The sequence below is a fragment of the Homo sapiens genome, chromosome 19, assembly GCF_000001405.40.
Source record: "Homo sapiens chromosome 19, GRCh38.p14 Primary Assembly".
Lineage (NCBI taxonomy): Eukaryota > Metazoa > Chordata > Mammalia > Primates > Hominidae > Homo > Homo sapiens.
Window position 1 is genome coordinate 44913542 of NC_000019.10, and position 18047 is coordinate 44931588.

Consider the following 18047-nt stretch of genomic DNA (forward strand, 5'->3'; position numbering starts at 1 on the left):
TCAAGTGATCCTCCCTCTTCAGCTTCCCAAAGTGCTGGGATTACAGGCATGAGCCACCATGCCTGGCTAATGCAGGTGAGGTTTTTGCAGTGTCATCCAGCTAAGGCGACCCGTTCCCCTCCCAAAAAAGGGAGACTGAGAACCATGAAGTTAAGAGCCCAGAGAATATCACGGTGGTCTGGGGTGCTTCAAGGGCTGGTCTGGAATAAATTGGAGGTGGCACGCAGGGTAGGAGCGCCGGGCCAACTGGGAGACCCAGCAACATAAAGGAAAAGTTGTTGGGGCTGAGGAGGCTTGCTGAGAGAGGGGAAGTGAGGGAAAGAGGTGATCTAGGGACACGGTGTGAATGAGGGGGGGATGAGATCACAGGGTTATTACTGGGAGACCCCTGAGGGAAGATGGCCACAGGGACAGGACAAGGCTGTCTTCTTAAGGGAGGAGACCACCCCTCATATTGTCTTATGCCCAATTTCTGCCTCCAAAGAAAGAAAAAGTAAAAACTAAAAGGCAGAAATGAAATCCACAAGCAGACAGCCCGCGCCACACCCTGGGCCTGGTGGTTAAAGATTGACCCCTGACCTAATCCGTTAGGTTATCTATAGATTACAGACATTGTATAGAAAAGCACTGTGAAAATCCCTATTCTGTTTTGTTCCGATCTAATTACCGGTGCATGCAGCCCCCAGTCACGCATCCCCTGCTTGTTCAATCGATCACGACCCTCTCACGTGCACCCACTTAGAGTTGTGAGCCCTTAAAAGGAACAGGGATTGCTCACTCGGGGAGCTCGGCTCTTGAGACAGGAATCTTGCCCATTCCCCGAACGAATAAACCCCTTCCTTAACTCAGCGTCTGAGGAATTTTGTCTGCGGCTCCTCCTGCTACATTCTGAGTGGGGAAAGGGACTAAGGTGGTCTGAGGACCCCACAGAGTCAGGAAGATTGAGAGGTGAGAGTGCTGAACGGGGAGGGGCTTTGGGGCTAAGGGAAGTGCCCGGGACCCCACCTGACCCCAACGCTCACGGGACAGGGGCAGAGGAGAAAAACGTGGGTGGACAGAGGGAGGCAGGCGGTCAGGGGAAGGCTCAGGAGGAGGGAGATCAACATCAACCTGCCCCGCCCCCTCCCCAGCCTGATAAAGGTCCTGCGGGCAGGACAGGACCTCCCAACCAAGCCCTCCAGCAAGGATTCAGGTTGGTGCTGAGTGCCTGGGAGGGACACCCGCCTACACTCTGCAAGAAACTCAAAAAGGGAGATGAGGGGATCGTGGGAGGGAGGTAGGGAGGGAGGAGGGTGCCACTGATCCCCTGAACCCCTGCCTCTGCCTCCAGAGTGCCCCTCCGGCCTCGCCATGAGGCTCTTCCTGTCGCTCCCGGTCCTGGTGGTGGTTCTGTCGATCGTCTTGGAAGGTAAAAGTGGGATGGGAGAATTGCGGAGTTGGAGATTTGGAAGAGTGAAGGTGGCTACAGGCCTGGGGTCCCGGCTTAGAGGACCTCTGAGAGCTCCGGGGCCCCTTCTGGGTCGTGGTTGCCTCATCGTGGTCGGGTGGGTCTCCAGGTTCTCCCAGGCTCAGTCCCGCAGGCGCCAAATCTGCGCAGGAGAGCACTAGCAACCGATGACGTATTGAGGCCCACACCTCTGGGATTGGCTGTCCTGCTTCGACAGCCTTGAAAGTGGGTAAGCTGGGTGGGGGGCTCTGGGAGAGGTCAGTGCTGAGTAAGGCAATTCCCAGCAGCTTGAGCCCCACCAGGTCACTCCAGTATTCCTCCCCATTCTTTTTTTTTTTTTTTTTTTTTCTCTTGAGACGGAGTCTCGCTCTGTCGCCGAGGCTGGAGTGCAGTGGCGCGATCTCGGCTCACTGCAAGCTCCGCCTCCCTGGTTCACGCCATTCTCCTGCCTCAGCAGGACTACAGGCGCCCGCCACCGCGCCCGGCTAATTTTTTGTATTTTCAGTAGAGACAGGGTTTCACCGTGGTCTCGATCTCCTGACTTTGTGATCCGCCTGCCTCGACCTCCCAAAGTGCTGGGATTACAGGCGTGAGCCACCGCGTCCGGCCATTCCTCCCCATTCTAACCACATGATCCCCAAGGATCTCTATCCATCCCGGTATCCCAACCTAAGGGGGTTCCAATAACAAATTTTTGGCCGGGCAGGGTGGCTCATGCCTGTAATCCCAGCACTTTGGGAGGCCGAGGCGGGCAGATCACTTGAGGTCAGGAGTTCGAAACCAGCCTGGCCAACATGGTGAAACTTCGTCTCTACTAAAAATACAAAAAAATTAGCCAGGTGTGGAGGCACGCGCCTGTAGGCCCAGCTACTCGGGAGGCTGAGGCAGGAGAATCACTTGAACCCGGGAGGCGGAGGTTGCAGTGAGCCGAGATCATACCACTGCACTCCAGCCTGGCTGACACAGCAAGACTCCGTCTCAAAACAAAACAAAACAAAAATAGCTGGGTGTGGTGGTGCACACCTGTAATCCCAGCTACTTGGGAGGCTGAGGCAGGAGAACTGCTTGAACCCGGGAGGTGGTGGTTGCAGTAGGCCGAGATCATGCCACTGCACTCCAGCTTGGGCTACAGAGCAAGACTCCATCTCCAAAAAAAAAAAAAAAAAAACAAATTTTGAACCCCTGCCCATCTTCCTGGCAGGCCCAGCCCCAGCCCAGGGGACCCCAGACGTCTCCAGTGCCTTGGATAAGCTGAAGGAGTTTGGAAACACACTGGAGGACAAGGCTCGGGAACTCATCAGCCGCATCAAACAGAGTGAACTTTCTGCCAAGATGCGGTTAGAACCCTTCCCAGGGCACGGGAGAGCTGGGGTGTGTTTTTGGGTGGAGCCCTGGCAGATGGTCCAAGATGAACAGATTGAAAAAAAAACAAGTCCTGGAGAGGCTGACAACATCCCTCTGGTCACACAGCTAGATCTCAAGGTGCTCAGACTTCAAGGACAGTTTCCCTGACTCCCATCCAGGCCATATTTTAAAAGATGGTCTTGGGCTGGGCACGGTGGCTCATGCTTGCAATCCCAGCACTTAGGGAGGCCGAGGTGGGCTGATTGCCTGAGGTCAGGAGTTCGAGACCAGTCTGACCAACATGGTGAAACCTTGTCTCTACTAAAAATACAAAAAAATTAGGCAGGCATGGTGGCGTGCACCTGTAATCCCAGCTAGTCGGGAGGCTGAGGCAGGGGAATTGCTTGAACCAGGAAGGTGGGAGTTACAGTGAGCCAACATTGTGCCAGCCTGGGTGACAGAAGGAGACTCTGTCTCAAAAAAAAAAAAAAAAAAAAAAAAAACAAGATGGTCTTGCCCAGGTATGGTGGCTCACACCTGTAATTCCAGCACTATGGGAGGCTGAGATGGGAGGATTGCTTGAGCCCAGGAGTTCGAGACCAGCCTGACCAACATGGCGAGATCCTGTCTCCATTTAAAAAAAAAAAAAAAAAGATGGTTTTGTGAGGTAATGAAAATGAAGGCCCCAAGCTTGGCCAGACCTGGGTCCCCAGGCTGGAGTAGCACCCCTTCCTGTGTGATCTTGACAGAGGGGCATTACTGTGAGCCTCAGTTTCCTCTCCTATAAACTGGTGGTTCTACAGGGAAGTAAAGGAGCAGGCCTACAGGGTGTCTGGTACATGTAGATGCTCAGTATATCATGAAACCCACCCTTGCCCCCTTTGGCAAGTTAGAGAGTCATTCGTTCTTTCAAAAATATTTACTGAGCATCTGCTAAGTGCTGGAAACTGTTTCAATGTGGGGAATAAAACAGTGAAGAACGTGCCGAGCACGGTGGCTCACACCTGTAACCCCACCACTTTGGAAGGCCGAGGTGGGTGGATCACTTGAGGTCAGGAGTGCGAGAACCCCGTCCCTAATAGAAATGCAAAAAAAATTAGCTGGGCATGGTGGCCCATGCCTGTAGTCCCAGCTCCTTGGGAGGCTGAGGCGAGAGGATTGCTTGAGCCCAGGAGATCTAGGCTGCAGTGCGCCATGTTTGTGCCACTGCATTCCAGCCTGGGTAACAGAATGAGACCCTGTCTCAACAAAAAAAGAAAAGAAAAGAGAAGAAAAGAGAAAAGAAAGACAGGGAGGGAGGGAGGAAGGAAGGGAGGGAGGGAGGGAAAATAGAGCCAGGCATAAACTTAGAAAGATCGTTTGGAGGCCAGGCACAATGGCTCACACCTGTAATCCCAGCACTTTGGGAGGCCAAGGCAAGCAGATCACCTGAGGTCAGGAGTTCGAGACCAGCCTAACATGGAGAAACCCTGTCTCTACTAAAAATACAAAATTAGCCGGGCGTGGTGGTGCATTCCTGTAGTCCTAGCTACTCGGGAGCCTGAGGCAGGAGAATCACTTGAACCCGGGAGGCGGAGGTTGCAGTGAGCCGAGATCATGCCACTGCACTCCAGCCTGGGCGACAAGGCGAGACTCCATGCCAAAAAAGAAAAAAAACTCCTGGCGCGGTGGCTCACGCCAGTAATCCCAGCACTGTGGGAGGCTGAGCAGGCGGATCACGAGGTCAGGAGTTCGAGACTAGCCTGCTCAACATAATGAAACCCTCTCTGTACTAAAAATACAAAAATTAGCTGGGTGTGGTGGCAGGCACCTGTAGTCCCAGCTACTCGGGAGGCTGAGGCAGGAGAATGGCTTGAACCTGGGAGGCAGAGGTTGCAGTGAGCCGAGACAGTGCCATTGCACTCCAGTCCAGGTGACAGAGCGAAACTCCATCTCAAAAAAAAAAGGAAGGCATTGGTAGCAAGAGATGGCAGGCCTTGAAAGCCAGGCCAGGGTGAAGTGTTTCTTTTTTTTTTTTTTTTTTTTTTCTTTTTAAATTTTTTTTTTTGAGACGGAGTCTCGCTCTGTCACCCAGGCTGGATTGCAGTGGCCTGATCTCGGCTCACTGCAAGTTCCGCCTCCCGGGTTCATGCCATTCTCCTGCCTCACCCTCCCGAGTAGCTGGGACTACAGGCACCTGCCACCACGCCAGCTAATTTTTTGTATTCTTAGTAGAATGTAGAATTTACTTAGTAGAATTTTTTGTATTCTTAGCCAGCATGGTCTCGATCTCCTGACCTGGTGATCCACCCGCCTCGGCCTCCCAAAGTGCTGGGATTACAGGCGTGAGCCACGGCGCCCGGCCTTATTTTTTCTTTTTGAGATGTACCCAGACTGGAGTACAGTGGTGCGATCTCGGCTTACTGGAACCTCCACCTCCCGGGTTCAGGCAATTCTCCTGCCTCAGCCTCATGAGTACTTGGAACTACAGGTGTGTGACACCACACATGGTATTTTTTGTATTTTTAGTGAAGATGACATTTCACCATGTTGCCCAGGTTGGTCTCGAACTCCTGACCTCAAGTGATCAGCCTACCTCGGCCTCCCAAAGTGTTGGGATTACAGGCGTGAGCCAAATGCCCAGCCAAGGGTAAAGTGTTTAGACTTCAACGTGCTTTGGTCCATCTGGGAAACTGAGGCACAGAAGTTGGCCCACCCAGCCCAGCGGTCCTCCTAATCCCACAGACAGTGGGGATGGAGATTCTGCAAGGGGAAGAGGTGGGAGTCAGGTAGCAGGCAGAATTTGGACAGCCTGGGAGGTAGCTGCACACAGTGACCCCCTTCCTTATTCCTCCCCACAGGGAGTGGTTTTCAGAGACATTTCAGAAAGTGAAGGAGAAACTCAAGATTGACTCATGAGGACCTGAAGGGTGACATCCCAGGAGGGGCCTCTGAAATTTCCCACACCCCAGCGCCTGTGCTGAGGACTCCCTCCATGTGGCCCCAGGTGCCACCAATAAAAATCCTACAGAAAATTCTCTCCTGAGTGCTTCTTTACTCTGGGGAAGGGGCTGCGGGAGAGGGTAGGGGCTTCCAGAGAGGGCAGGGTCTGCAGGAGAGGGCAGGGGCTAAACCTTAGGTACTCCTCACAAGCCCTCCAATGCCCTATCTACTTGCCCTGTGCTGAGGATGTTTTAACTCCATGGTCTCAAAAGAGTCTTCCTAAGAACCCTGCAAACTGGGCCTTATTAATCCCATAAGGGCATTGAGGCCCAGAGAGGTGAAGTTACTTGTATAAGGTCACACAGCCAGGAAGTAGAGAACTGGAACTAGATTGAACCCTCAGCCTAGCAATGTCACTATGCTACACTTTTCCTAGTGTGGTCTACCCGAGATGAGGGGCTGAGGTTTTTTTTTGTTTTTGTTTCTGTTTTGAGGCAGACTCACTCTCTCCCCCAGGATGGAGTACAGTGGTGCGATCTCAGCTCACTGCAACCTCCACCTCCCAGGTTCAAGAGATTATCCTGCCTCAGCCTCCCAAGTAGCTGGGATTTACAGGTGTGCGCCACCACACCCAGCTAATTTTTGTATTTTTAGTAGAGACAGGGTTTCATCATGTTGGCCAGGCTGGTCTCCAACTCCTGGGCTTAAGCAATCCTCCTGCCTTGGCCTCCCAAAGTATTAGAATTACAGGCGTGAGCCACTGTGCCTGGCTCTTATGTAAAATTAAACCACATACACATGAGAAACAACCCTATGTAATTAAGATTTCTTTCTTTTTTTTTTTTTTTTTAAGAGATGGAGTCACCCAGGCTGGAGTGCAGTTGCACAATCTCCATTCACTGCAGCCTTGCAACCTCCACCACCTGAGTTCAAGGGATTCTCCTGCCTCAGCCTCCTGAGTAGCTGGGATTATAGGCATGTGCCACCACGCCCAGCTAATTTTTTTGTATTTTTAGTAGAGACGGAATTTCCCCATGTTGGCCAGGCTGGTCTCAAACTCCTGGCCTTAAATGATCCACCCGTCCTGGCCTCCCAAAGTGCTGGGATTACAGGTGTGAGCCACCGCACCCAGCTTAAGATTTCATAAGAAAAATATTTGTAAGCCACATATCTAATAACCGGTTAATATTCAGGCTGGGTGAAGTGGCTCATGCCTGTAATCCCAGCACTTTGGGAAGACAAGGCGGGCGGATTACCTGAAGTCAAAAGTTTGAGACCTGCCTGGCCAACATGGTGAAACCCTGTCTCTACTAAAAATACAAAAAAATTAGCCGGGTGGGGTGGCACATGCCTGTAATCCCAGCTGCTTGGGAGGCTGAGGCAAGAGAATCCCTTGAACCCAGGAGTCGAAGGTTGCAGTGAGCCAAGATGGCGCCACTGCCCTCCAGCCTGGGAGACAGAGTGGGACTCCATCTCAAAAAAAAAAAAAATTCAAAATGTATAATATACAATCCTAGTTGGGACATCAAACACTGCAGCCACTGTGGAAAACAGTATGGGGTTTCCTCAAAACATTAAAGATAGAACTCTCAAATGATCCTTCAATCCCACTTCTGGGTATTTATTCAAAAGAATTGAAATCAGGACCTTGAAGAGATACCTGCCCTCCCATGTTCACTGCAGGTCTGCTCAATACCCAAGATATGGAAACAACCTAAATGTTTATCAACAGATGAATGGGTCAAGGAAATGTGGTCTCTACATGTAATGGAATGTAACGCATCCTTAAAAAGGAAACCCTAAGGCCGGGCTCTGTGGCTCACACATGTTTTTTTTTTTAAATTTTATTTATTTATTTATTTATTTATTTATTTTTTATTGATCATTCTTGGGTGTTTCTCACAGAGGGGGATTTGGCAGGGTCATAGGACAATAGTGGAGGGAAGGTCAGCAGATAAACAAGTGAACAAAGGTCTCTGGTTTTCCTAGGCAGAGGACCCTGAGGCCTTCCGCAGTGTTTGTGTCCCTGGGTACTTGAGATTAGGGAGTGGTGACGACTCTTAACGAGCATGCTGCCTTCAAGCATCTGTTTAACAAAGCACATCTTGCACCACCCTTAATCCATTTAACCCTGAGTGGACACAGCACATGTTTCAGAGAGCACAGGGTTGGGGGTAAGATCACAGATCAACAGGATCCCAAGGCAGAAGAATTTTTCTTAGTATAGAACAAAATGAAAAGTCTCCCATGTCTACTTCTTTCTACACAGACACGGCAACCATCCGATTTCTCAATCTTTTCCCCAACTTTTCCCCCCTTTCTATTCCACAAAGCCGCGATTGTCATCCTGGCCGGTTCTCAATGAGCTGTTGGGCACACCTCCCAGACAGGGTGGTGGCCGGGCAGAGGGGCTCCTCACTTCCCAGTAGGGGCGGCCGGGCAGAGGCGCCCCTCACCTCCCGGACGGGGTGGCTGCCGGGCGGAGAGGCTCCTCACTTCTCAGACAGGGCGGTTGCCAGGCAGAGGGTCTCCTCACTTCTCAGACGGGGTGGCCGGGCAGAGACGCTCCTCACCTCCCAGACGGGGTCGCGGCCGGGCAGAGGCGCTCCTCACATCCCAGACGGGGCGGCGGGGCAGAGGCGCTCCCCACATCTCAGACGATGTGCGGCCGGGAAGAGGCGCTCCTCACTTCCTAGATGGGATGGCGGCCGGACGGAGACGCTCCTCACTTCCCAGACTGGGCAGCCAGGCAGAGGGGCTCCTCACATCCCAGACGATGTGGCTCACGCATGTTATCCCAGCACTTTCGGAGGTCAAGGCAGGAGGATCACTTGAGGCCAGGAGTTGGAGACCATCTTGGCCAACATGGTGAAACCCCGTCTCTACTAAAAATACAAAAAATTAGCCAGGCGTGCGCCTGTAATCCCAGCTACTCAGTAGGCTGAGGCATGAGAATCGCTTGAACCCAGGAGGTGGAGGCTGCAGTGAGCCGAGATCATGCCACTGCACTCCAGCCGGGGCATCAGAGCAAGACTCAATCTCAAAACATAAAAGGAAATCCTGAAACTGGGCACAGTGGCTTATGCGTGTAATCCCAGCACTTTGGAAGGCTGAGGTGGGAGGATCACTTGAGGTCAGGAGTTCGAGACCAGCCTGGGTAACATGGTGAGACACCATCTCTACCAAAAAAAGAAGAAAGAGAATAAATAAATGTATAAATATTACTCCCTGGGGTTAATGCATCCCCTTCTCCCCCAAATCAACCCTCCAAACTCCTATACTCTCCTGTCTTCTCACTCAGCAGCCTGTTAGAACTCAAGTCAGATTTTTTGTTTTTTGTTTTTTGAGACGGAGTCTCACTCTATTGCCCAGCCTGTGCAGTGGCACCATCTCAGCTCACTGCAACCTCTGCCTCCCAGGTTGAACCGATTTTCCTGCTCAGTCTCCCAAGTAGCTGGGACTACAGGCGTGTGTGTGCCACCACACCCAGCTAATTTTTGTATTTGTAGTAGAGACGGGGTTTCACCATGTTGCCCAGGTTGGTCTCGAACTCCTGAGCTCTAGCAATTAGCCCTCCTTGGCCTCCCAAAGTGCTGGGGTTACAGGCATGAGCCACCATGGCCGGCCTCAAGTCAGATTATGCTCTTCCTCTGCTCAGAACTCTCCTGATTCTCTCAGAGTAAACCCAGAAGCACTTACCAAGGCCTACAAACGGGACACTATGCCGTCCACGATCGCCTCCTCCCTGTCTCTCTCTCCATCACTCACAAGCAACTCTTTGCTATTCCTCCAATGTACTGGGCAGGTTCCCATCTCAGGGCCCTTGCAGTTACTGTTCCTCTTGCCTGGAATGTTCTTCCCCAGGGGTCCAGATATCTGCCTGGCTCCCTCCTCACTTCCTCCAGTTCTCTTCCAAAATCATCCCCTGCCAGACGTGGTGGCACACGCCTGTAATCCTAACTCTTTGAGATGCCAAGGTGGGAGGATTGCTTCAGCTCAGGAGTTCAAGATCAGCCTGGGCAATAGCAAGACCCCATCCGTTCTAAAAATAAAAATAAATAAAAAATAAAAAATAAAAATTAGCTGAGCATGGTAGTGGACACCTTGGGGTTCCAGCCACGTGGCAGGCTGAGGTAGGAGGATGGCTTTGAATCAGGGAGGTTGAGGCTGCAGTGAGCCATGTTCTGAATTAGATACTGGTGATGATCGTGCAACCTTCCCAATATAGGAAAAACCACTGAACAGTACATTTTCAAAGGGTAAATTTAGCCGGACACGGTGGCTCATGTCTGTAATCCCAGCACTTTTGGAGTCCGAGGCGGGCAGATCACCTGAGGCTGGGAGTTCAAGACCAGCCTGACCAACATGGAGAAACCCCGTCTCTACTAAAAATACAAAAAATTAGCCAGGTATGGTGGCGCATGCCTGTAATCCCAGCTACTCCAGAGGTTGAGGCAGGAGAATTGCTTGAACCCGGGAGGCAGAGGTTGTGGTGAGCCGACATCACACCATCGTACTCCAGCCTGGGCAACAAGAGCGAAACTCCGTCTCAAAAAAAAAAAAAATAATTAAGAAATTAGCCAGGCGTGGTGGTGGGTGCCTGTAGTCTCAGCTACTTGGGAGGCTGAGGCATGAGAATCGCTTAAACCCGGCGGGTGGAGGCTACAGTGAGCCTAGATTCCACCACCGCACTCCAGCCTGGGCAACTGAGTGAGACTCCACCTCAAAAAAATAAATAAAAGGGTAAATTTTATGGAATGTGAATCATAATTCAATTTTTCAACATGCGTTAGGAGGGACATTTCAAACTCTTTTTTACCCTAGACTTTCCTACCATCACCCAGAGTATCCAGCCAGGAGGGGAGGGGCTAGAGACACCAGAAGTTTAGCAGGGAGGAGGGCGTAGGGATTCGGGGAATGAAGGGATGGGATTCAGACTAGGGCCAGGACCCAGGGATGGAGAGAAAGAGATGAGAGTGGTTTGGGGGCTTGGTGACTTAGAGAACAGAGCTGCAGGCTCAGAGGCACACAGGAGTTTCTGGGCTCACCCTGCCCCCTTCCAACCCCTCAGTTCCCATCCTCCAGCAGCTGTTTGTGTGCTGCCTCTGAAGTCCACACTGAACAAACTTCAGCCTACTCATGTCCCTAAAATGGGCAAACATTGCAAGCAGCAAACAGCAAACACACAGCCCTCCCTGCCTGCTGACCTTGGAGCTGGGGCAGAGGTCAGAGACCTCTCTGGGCCCATGCCACCTCCAACATCCACTCGACCCCTTGGAATTTCGGTGGAGAGGAGCAGAGGTTGTCCTGGCGTGGTTTAGGTAGTGTGAGAGGGTCCGGGTTCAAAACCACTTGCTGGGTGGGGAGTCGTCAGTAAGTGGCTATGCCCCGACCCCGAAGCCTGTTTCCCCATCTGTACAATGGAAATGATAAAGACGCCCATCTGATAGGGTTTTTGTGGCAAATAAACATTTGGTTTTTTTGTTTTGTTTTGTTTTGTTTTTTGAGATGGAGGTTTGCTCTGTCGCCCAGGCTGGAGTGCAGTGACACAATCTCATCTCACCACAACCTTCCCCTGCCTCAGCCTCCCAAGTAGCTGGGATTACAAGCATGTGCCACCACACCTGGCTAATTTTCTATTTTTAGTAGAGACGGGTTTCTCCATGTTGGTCAGCCTCAGCCTCCCAAGTAACTGGGATTACAGGCCTGTGCCACCACACCCGGCTAATTTTTTCTATTTTTGACAGGGACGGGGTTTCACCATGTTGGTCAGGCTGGTCTAGAACTCCTGACCTCAAATGATCCACCCACCTAGGCCTCCCAAAGTGCACAGATTACAGGCGTGGGCCACCGCACCTGGCCAAATTTTTAATTTTTTTCTAGAGATAGGGTCTTACTGTGTTGCCCAGGCTGGTGTCAAACTCCTGGGCTCAAGCAGATCCTCCTGCCTCAGCTTCCCAAAGTGGTGGGATTATAGGTGTGAGCCACTGCGCCCAGTCAGTAGCCCCCTCTTTGCCCCTCACTGAGCCCTACTGGATGTTCTTGGTTGTGTGACAGTTTCCCCATCTATTAAACAGAAACCCCTATAGCAGAGGGGAGGATGAGGTTGGAAAATCAGGAGCATTGTTATTCTATTCTTGTGGGATCGGGGAAGCAGACATCTGGGTGGATGTTTGGGGAATGCTGGGCTCAGTTGAGGAAGTAGGGGGGCCCCTGGGGCTTACAGGGACTGGAAGCTCTGAGCTGGCCAGAGGGATGTTGCAATCCTGCCAGGGTCTTGTCTATGCTGTCCCTTTCACAACCATCCCCCTACCGCCAGGCTGACACGTGGTTGTGGGGGCACAAGGCCAGCCGAACTAGAGTCTGAGGCTGGGCTGAGGACACCCTCCCCATCAGCTGCCAGGGTCACTGGCGGTCAAAGGCAGCTGGTGGGGAAGGAATTGGACTCCAGCCCTGGGGGACGGATGTGGTGATGGTGGGAAGCAGGCTTGGTGCCAGGAGGGGCATCAGAGGGTGAATAAGAGCAGATAGAGTGTTTGGGGGAGGTAGCCAGCCAAAGGGGGTGAGGCCCGGTGGAAGGGAAGAAGGGGCATACACTCAGAGCTTTGCAGCTGAAGGTTTTAATTTTTTGAGATGGGGTCTCACTCTGTCTCACCAGGCTGGAGTGCAGTGGCGCAATCACAGCTCACTGCAGCCTCGAACTCCTGGGCTCAAGCAATCTTCCTACCTCAGCCTCTTGAATAGCTGGGACTACAGGTGTGCGCCACCACGCTCAGCTAATTTTTGAACTTTTTTGTAGAGATGAGGTCTCCCTATATTGCCCAGGCTGGTCTCTTAACTCCTGGGCTCAAGTGATCCTCCTTCCTCAGCTTCCCAAAGCGCTGGGATTACAGGCATGAGCCACCATGCCTGGCCAATGCAGGTGAGGTTTTTAGTGTCCAGCTAAGGCGACCCCTTCCCTTTGCAAAAAAGGGAGACTGAAAATCATCAAGTTAAGAGCCCAGAGAATATCAGGGTGGTCTGGGATGTTTCAAGGGCTGGTCTGAAAGAAATTGGAGGTGGCACGCAGGGCAGGGTTGCGGGGCCAACTGGGAGGCCCCAGCAACATAAAGGAAAAGTTGTTGGGGCTGAGGAGGCTTGCTGAGAGAGGGGAAGTGAGGGAAAGAGGTGATCTAGGGACACGGTGTGAATGAGGGGGGGATGAGATCACAGGGTTATTACTGGGAGACCCCTGAGGGAAGATGGCCACAGGGACAGGACGAGGCTGTCCTCTGAGTGGGGAAAGGAGCTATGGTAGTCTGAGGACCCCCCAGAGTCAGGGAGATTGGGAGGTGAGGGTGCTGAATGGTAAAGGGCTTCGGAGCTAAGGGAAATGGTCAGGACCCCACCTGACCCCAACGCCCACGGGCCAGGGGCAGAGGAGAAAAACCTGGGTGGGCAGAAGGAGGCAATCTTCCAGGGGAAGGCTCAGGAGGAGGGAGATCAACATCAACCTGCCCCGCCCCCTCCCCAGCCTGATAAAGGTCCTGCGGGCAGGACAGGACCTCCCAACCAAGCCCTCCAGCAAGGATTCAGGTTGTTGAGTGCTTGGGAGGGACACCCGCCTCCACTCTGCAAGAACTCATAAAGGGAGATGAGGGGATCGTGGGAGGGAGGGAGGAGGGTGCCACTGATCCCCTGAACCCCTGCCTCCGCCTCCAGGGTGCCCCTCCGGCCTCGCCATGAGGCTCTTCCTGTCGCTCCCGGTCCTGGTGGTGGTTCTGTCGATCGTCTTGGAAGGTAAAAGTGGGATGGGAGAATTGCGGAGTTGGAGATTTGGAAGAGTGAAGGTGGCTACAGGCCTGGGGTCCCGGCTTAGAGGACCTCTGAGAGCTCTGGGGCCCCTTCTTGGTCGTGGTTGCCCCATTGTGGTCGAGTGGGTCTCCAGGTTCGCCCAGGCTCAGTCCGGCAGGCGCCAAATCTGCCCAGGAGAGCCCTAGTAACCGATGACGTATGGATCTCCACACCTCTGGGATTGGCTGTCCTCCTTTTATAGCCTTGAAAGTGGGTGATGGGGCGATGGGCTGTGGGAGGAGGTCAGTGCTGAGTAAGGCAATTCCCAGCGGCTTGAGCCCCACGCGGTCACTTCAGTATCCTCCCCATTCTAACCACATGATCCCCAAGGATCTCCTTATCTATCCCCGGGATCCCACCCCAAGGGGGTTCCAATAACAAATTTTTGGTGGGGCGTGGCGGCTAATGCCTGTAATCCCAGCACTTTGGGAGGCCGAGGCGGGCAGATCACTTGAGGTCAGGAGTTCGAAACCAGCCTGGCCTACATGGTGAAACCCCATCTCTACTAAAAATACAAAACAGCCAGGCGTTGTGGTGCGCGCTTGGCTACTTGGGAGGCTGAGACAGGAGAACTGCTTGAACCTAGGAGGCGGAGGTTGCAGTAAGCCGAGATCGCACCATTTGACACAGCAAGTCTCCGTCTCAAAACTACAACAACAACAACAACAACAACCAAATTTTGCACCCCTGCCTCATCTTCCTGGCAGGCCCAGCCCCAGCCTAGGGGGCTCCAGAAGTCTCCAACCCCTTTGATGGCCTGGAGGAGTTAGGAAAGACCCTGGAGGACTACACTCGGGAATTCATCAACCGCATCACACAGAGTGAACTTCCTGCCAAGATGTGGTTAGAACCCTTCCCAGGGCACGGGAGGGCTGGGGTGTGTTTGTGTGGAGCCCTGGAGGATGTCCAAGATGAACAGATTGAAAAAAAAAACAAGTCCCAGAGAGGCTGACAGCATCCTTCTGGTCACACAGCTAGATCTCAAGGATCTCAGACGTCAGGGACAGTTTCCCGGACTCCCATCCAGGCCACATTTTAAAAGATGGTCTTGGGCTGGGCGCCGTGGCTCACACCTATAATCCTAACACTTTGGGAGGCCTAGGCGGGCGGATTGCCTGAGATCAGGAGTTCAAGACCAGCCTGGCCAACATGGTGAAACCCTGTCTCTACTAAAAGTACAAAAAATTAGCCTGACATGGGGGTGTGCACCTGTAATCCCAGCTACTCGGGAGGCTGAGGCAGGGGAATTGCTTGCACCAGTAAGGTGGGGGTTACAGTGAGCCAAGATTGCACCACTGCACTCCAGCCTGGGCAACAAAGCAACATTCCGTCACAAAAGAAAAAAAAAAAAGATGGTTTTGCTTAGGTACGGTGGCTCACACCTGTAATCCCAGCACTGTGGGAGGATTGCTGGAGCCTAGGAGTTTGAGACCAGCCTGGCTAACATGGCGAGATCCTGTCTCTATTTTTTTTTTTTTTTTTTTGAGACAGAGTCTCGCTCTGTTGCCCAGGCTGGAGTGCAGTGGCGCCATCTCGGCTCACTGCAACCTCTGCCTCCCCAGTTCAAGCAATTCTCTGCCTCAGTCTCCTGAGTAGCTAGGATTACAGGCGCCCACCACCACGCCCGGCTAATTTTTTTGTATTTTTAGTAGAGATGGGGTTTCACCATCTTGGCCAAGCTGGTCTTGAACTCCTGACCTTGTGATCCACCCGCCTCAGCCTCCCAAAGTGCTGGGATTACAGGTGTGAGCCACCATGCCCGGTGATCCTGTCTCTATTTAAAAAACAAAACAAAACAAAACAAAACAAAAAGCATACAAGCCAGCCCCGGTGCGATAGCTCATGCCTGTAATCCCAGCACTTTGGGAGGCTGAGTCGGGCAGATTACCTGAGATCGGGGGTTCGAGGCCAAGTTGGGCAGATCACCTGAGGTTGGGAGTTTGAGACCAGCCTGACCAACATGGAGAAACTCCGTCTCTATTAAAAATACAAAATTAGTCAGGCATGGTGGTGCATGCCTCTATTCCCAGCTACTTGGGAGGCTGAGGCAGGAGAATCACTTGAACCTGGGAGGCGGAGGTTGCAGTGAGCTGAGATAATGCCATTGCACTCCAGCCTGGGCAATAAGAGCGAATCCACGTCTCAAAAAAAAAAAAAAAAATTGAAAAAAAAAAAGATGGTCTTGTGGGGTAATGAAGGACACAAGCTTGGTGGGACCTGAGTCCCCAGGCTGGCATAGAGCCCCTTACTCCCTGTGTGATCTTAAGAGAGAGGCATTACTGTGAGCCTCAGTTTCCTTTCCTGTGAAATGGTGGTTCTGTGGGGAAGTAAAGCAGAAGGCCTATAGGGTGTCTGGCACATTGTAAATGCTCAGTACATCTTCAAATCCACACTTGCTCCCTTTGGCAAGTTAGAGAGTCATTCGTTCCTCAACACATATTTATTGAGCATCTGCTAAGTGCTAGAAACTGTTTCAATGTGGGGAATAAAACAGTGAAGAATATGCCGAGCGCGGTGGCTCACACCTGTAATCCCAGCACTTTGGAAGGCTGAGGTGAGTGGATCACTTGAGGTCAGGAGTTTGAGAACCCCATCTCTACTAGAAATACAAAAAATTACCCAGGCGTGATGGCACACACCTGTAGTCCCAGCTACTTCGGAGACGGAGGCAAGAGGATCACTTGAGCCCAGGAGGTTGAGGCTGCAGTGAGCTATGTTTGTGCCACTGCATTCCAGCCTGGGTAACAGAATGAGACCCTGTCTCATCCAAAAAAAAAAGAAAGAAAGAAAGAAAGAAAGAAGGAAGGGAGGGAGGGAGGGAGGGAAAATCTAGTCAGGCCTAAACTTAGAAAGATTGTTTGGAGGCCAGGTGCAGTGGCTCATGCCTGTAATCCCAGCACTTTGGCAGGCTGAGGCGGGCAGATCACCTGAGGTCAGGAGTTTGAGACCAGCCTGACCAACAAGGAGAAACCCTGTCTCTTCTAAAAAAAAAATACAAAAAATTAGCCAGGCATGGTGGTGCATGCCTGTAATCCCAGCTACTCAGGATGATGAGGCAGGAGAATTGCTTGAACCTGGGAGCTGGAGGTTGCGGTGAGCTGAGATCGCGCCATTGCACTCCAGCCTGGGCAACAAGGGCATAACTCCGTCTCAAAAAAAGAAAGAAAGAAAGAAAGATTGATTGTTTGGAGGGAGAGGCAAAGGTCCAAAGTCAAGAAGGTCGATCAATAAGCAAGAGCGGGTGGCATCCCAGGCAGGGGAACAGCCTGGGCATACGCAGGGAGGCTGGAAAGTACCTTTGAATGAGTAGGGGAACAGATAGGGCAAGGGCAGGCTGGAAGAAAGAGTGGGTAGCAAGAGATGGCAGGCCTTGAAAGCCAGGCCAGAGTGAAGTTTTCTTTTCTTTTCTTTTCTTTTGAGACGGAGTCACGCTCTGTTGCCTAGGCTGGAACACGGTGGTGTGATCTCAGCTCATTGCACTCTCCACCTCCCAGGTTCAAGCAATTCTCCTGCCTCAGCCTCCTGAGTAGCTGGGATTACAGGCGTGCACCACCACGGGTGGCTAATTTTTGTAATTTAGTAAAGACGGGGTTTTGCCATGTTGGCCAGGCTGGTCTCGAACTCCTGACCTCCAGTGATCTGCCTGCCTCGGCTTCCCAAAGTGTTGGGATTACAGGCGTGAGCCAAATGCCCAGCCAAGGGTAAAGTGTTTAGACTTCAACGTGCTTTGGTCCACCTGGGAAACTGAGGCACAGAAGTTGGCCCACCCAGCCCAGCGGTCCTCCTAATCCCACAGACAGTGGGGATGGAGATTCAGCAAGGGGAAGAGGTGGGAGTCAGGTAGCAGGTAGAATTTGAACAGCCTGGGAGGTAGCTGCACACAGTGACCCCCTTCCTTATTCCTCCCCACAGGGATTGGTTTTCAGAGACATTTCGGAAAGTGAAGGAGAAACTCAAGACTGACTCATGAGGACCTGAAGGGTGACATCCCAGGAGGGGCCTCTGAAATTTCCAACACCCCAGCGCCTGTACTGAGGACGCCCTCCATGTGTGTCCAATGTGGTCACACGCCCAGGTGTGACCAATAAAAATCCTATGGAAAATTCTCTCTGGCCAGGCATGGTGGCTGACGCCTGTAATCCCAGCACTTTGGGAGGCTGAGGCGGGCGGATCACAAGGTCAGGAGATTGAGCCCATCCTGGCTAACACGGTGAAACCCCGTCTCTACTAAAAATACAAAAAAAATAGCCAAGCGTGGTGGCAGGCGCCTGTAGTCCCAGCTATTCGGGAGGCTGAGGCAGGAGAATCGCTTGAAACCGGGAGGTGGAGCTTGCAGTGAGCTGAGATCGTGCCACTGCACTGCAGCCTGGGTGACAAGAGCCAGACTCCGCGTCAAAAAAAAAAAAGAAAAGAAAATTCTGTCTGACTGCTTCTTCACTGTGGGGCAGGGGTGCCGGAGAGGGTAGGGGCTGTGGGAGAGGGCAGGGGCTGAACCTTACGG

At 52.3% G+C, this 18047-nt stretch overlaps 1 protein-coding gene and 1 pseudogene across 7 annotated transcripts, besides 6 other annotated features; both read left to right on the plus strand.

Moving 5' to 3' along the window:
- Positions 80-1206: a promoter, noted in NCBI's record as "-1271 to -145 relative to translation start codon". NCBI's record gives the evidence for it as "EXISTENCE:reporter gene assay evidence [ECO:0000049][PMID:11054415]".
- Positions 80-1380: a biological region, named in NCBI's record as "APOC1 promoter region". NCBI's record gives its function as "regulatory_interactions: APOC1".
- Positions 431-886: a mobile genetic element.
- Positions 621-1380: an enhancer, noted in NCBI's record as "H3K27ac-H3K4me1 hESC enhancer chr19:45417419-45418178 (GRCh37/hg19 assembly coordinates)". NCBI's record gives its function as "activates a minimal SCP1, AML or CMV promoter by ChIP-STARR-seq in naive H9 embryonic stem cells {active_cell/tissue: H9 hESC(naive)}" and the evidence as "EXISTENCE:reporter gene assay evidence [ECO:0000049][PMID:30033119]".
- APOC1 (apolipoprotein C1) lies at positions 784-5805 on the plus strand. 4 transcript variants are annotated; one of them, NM_001321066.2, is made up of 5 exons: positions 784-948; positions 1131-1192; positions 1331-1408; positions 2649-2784; positions 5632-5805. In NM_001321066.2, the coding sequence occupies exons 3-5, from the start codon at positions 1351-1353 to the stop codon at positions 5687-5689; spliced, it is 252 nt and encodes an 83-aa protein (NP_001307995.1). In that variant the 5' UTR covers positions 784-948; positions 1131-1192; positions 1331-1350; the 3' UTR covers positions 5690-5805. The 4 variants fall into 4 exon arrangements, with proteins under 4 accessions (NP_001307995.1, NP_001307994.1, NP_001636.1 ...); NM_001321065.2 differs by lacking the exon at positions 1131-1192; NM_001645.5 differs by lacking the exon at positions 784-948 and having other exon boundaries at positions 1067-1192.
- Positions 1381-2138: an enhancer, noted in NCBI's record as "H3K27ac-H3K4me1 hESC enhancer chr19:45418179-45418936 (GRCh37/hg19 assembly coordinates)". NCBI's record gives its function as "activates a minimal SCP1, AML or CMV promoter by ChIP-STARR-seq in naive H9 embryonic stem cells {active_cell/tissue: H9 hESC(naive)}" and the evidence as "EXISTENCE:reporter gene assay evidence [ECO:0000049][PMID:30033119]".
- Positions 13262-17845, plus strand: APOC1P1 (apolipoprotein C1 pseudogene 1; annotated as a pseudogene). Of its 3 annotated transcripts, NR_028414.1 has the most exons (4): positions 13262-13291; positions 13415-13492; positions 14254-14389; positions 17459-17845. The product of NR_028414.1 is annotated as an apolipoprotein C1 pseudogene 1, transcript variant 3 (transcript). The 3 variants fall into 3 exon arrangements; NR_028412.1 differs by having other exon boundaries at positions 13262-13492; positions 14069-14389; NR_028413.1 differs by having other exon boundaries at positions 13262-13492.
- Positions 13801-14693: an enhancer, noted in NCBI's record as "H3K27ac-H3K4me1 hESC enhancer chr19:45430599-45431491 (GRCh37/hg19 assembly coordinates)". NCBI's record gives its function as "activates a minimal SCP1, AML or CMV promoter by ChIP-STARR-seq in naive H9 embryonic stem cells {active_cell/tissue: H9 hESC(naive)}" and the evidence as "EXISTENCE:reporter gene assay evidence [ECO:0000049][PMID:30033119]".
- Positions 17846-18047: the final 202 nt, after the last annotated feature.

Bases quoted from the DNA above. Each gene is read 5' to 3' on its own strand.
- APOC1 (NM_001379687.1), top strand. From the start codon at position 1,351: ATGAGGCTCTTCCTGTCGCTCCCGGTCCTGGTGGTGGTTCTGTCGATC. The intron at 1,409-2,648 runs GTAAAAGTGGGA...TCTTCCTGGCAG, and splicing joins TCTGTCGATCGTCTTGGAAG to GCCCAGCCCCAGCCCAGGGG. The intron at 2,930-5,631 runs GTGCTCAGACTT...TCCTCCCCACAG, and splicing joins TCACACAGCTAGATCTCAAG to GGAGTGGTTTTCAGAGACAT.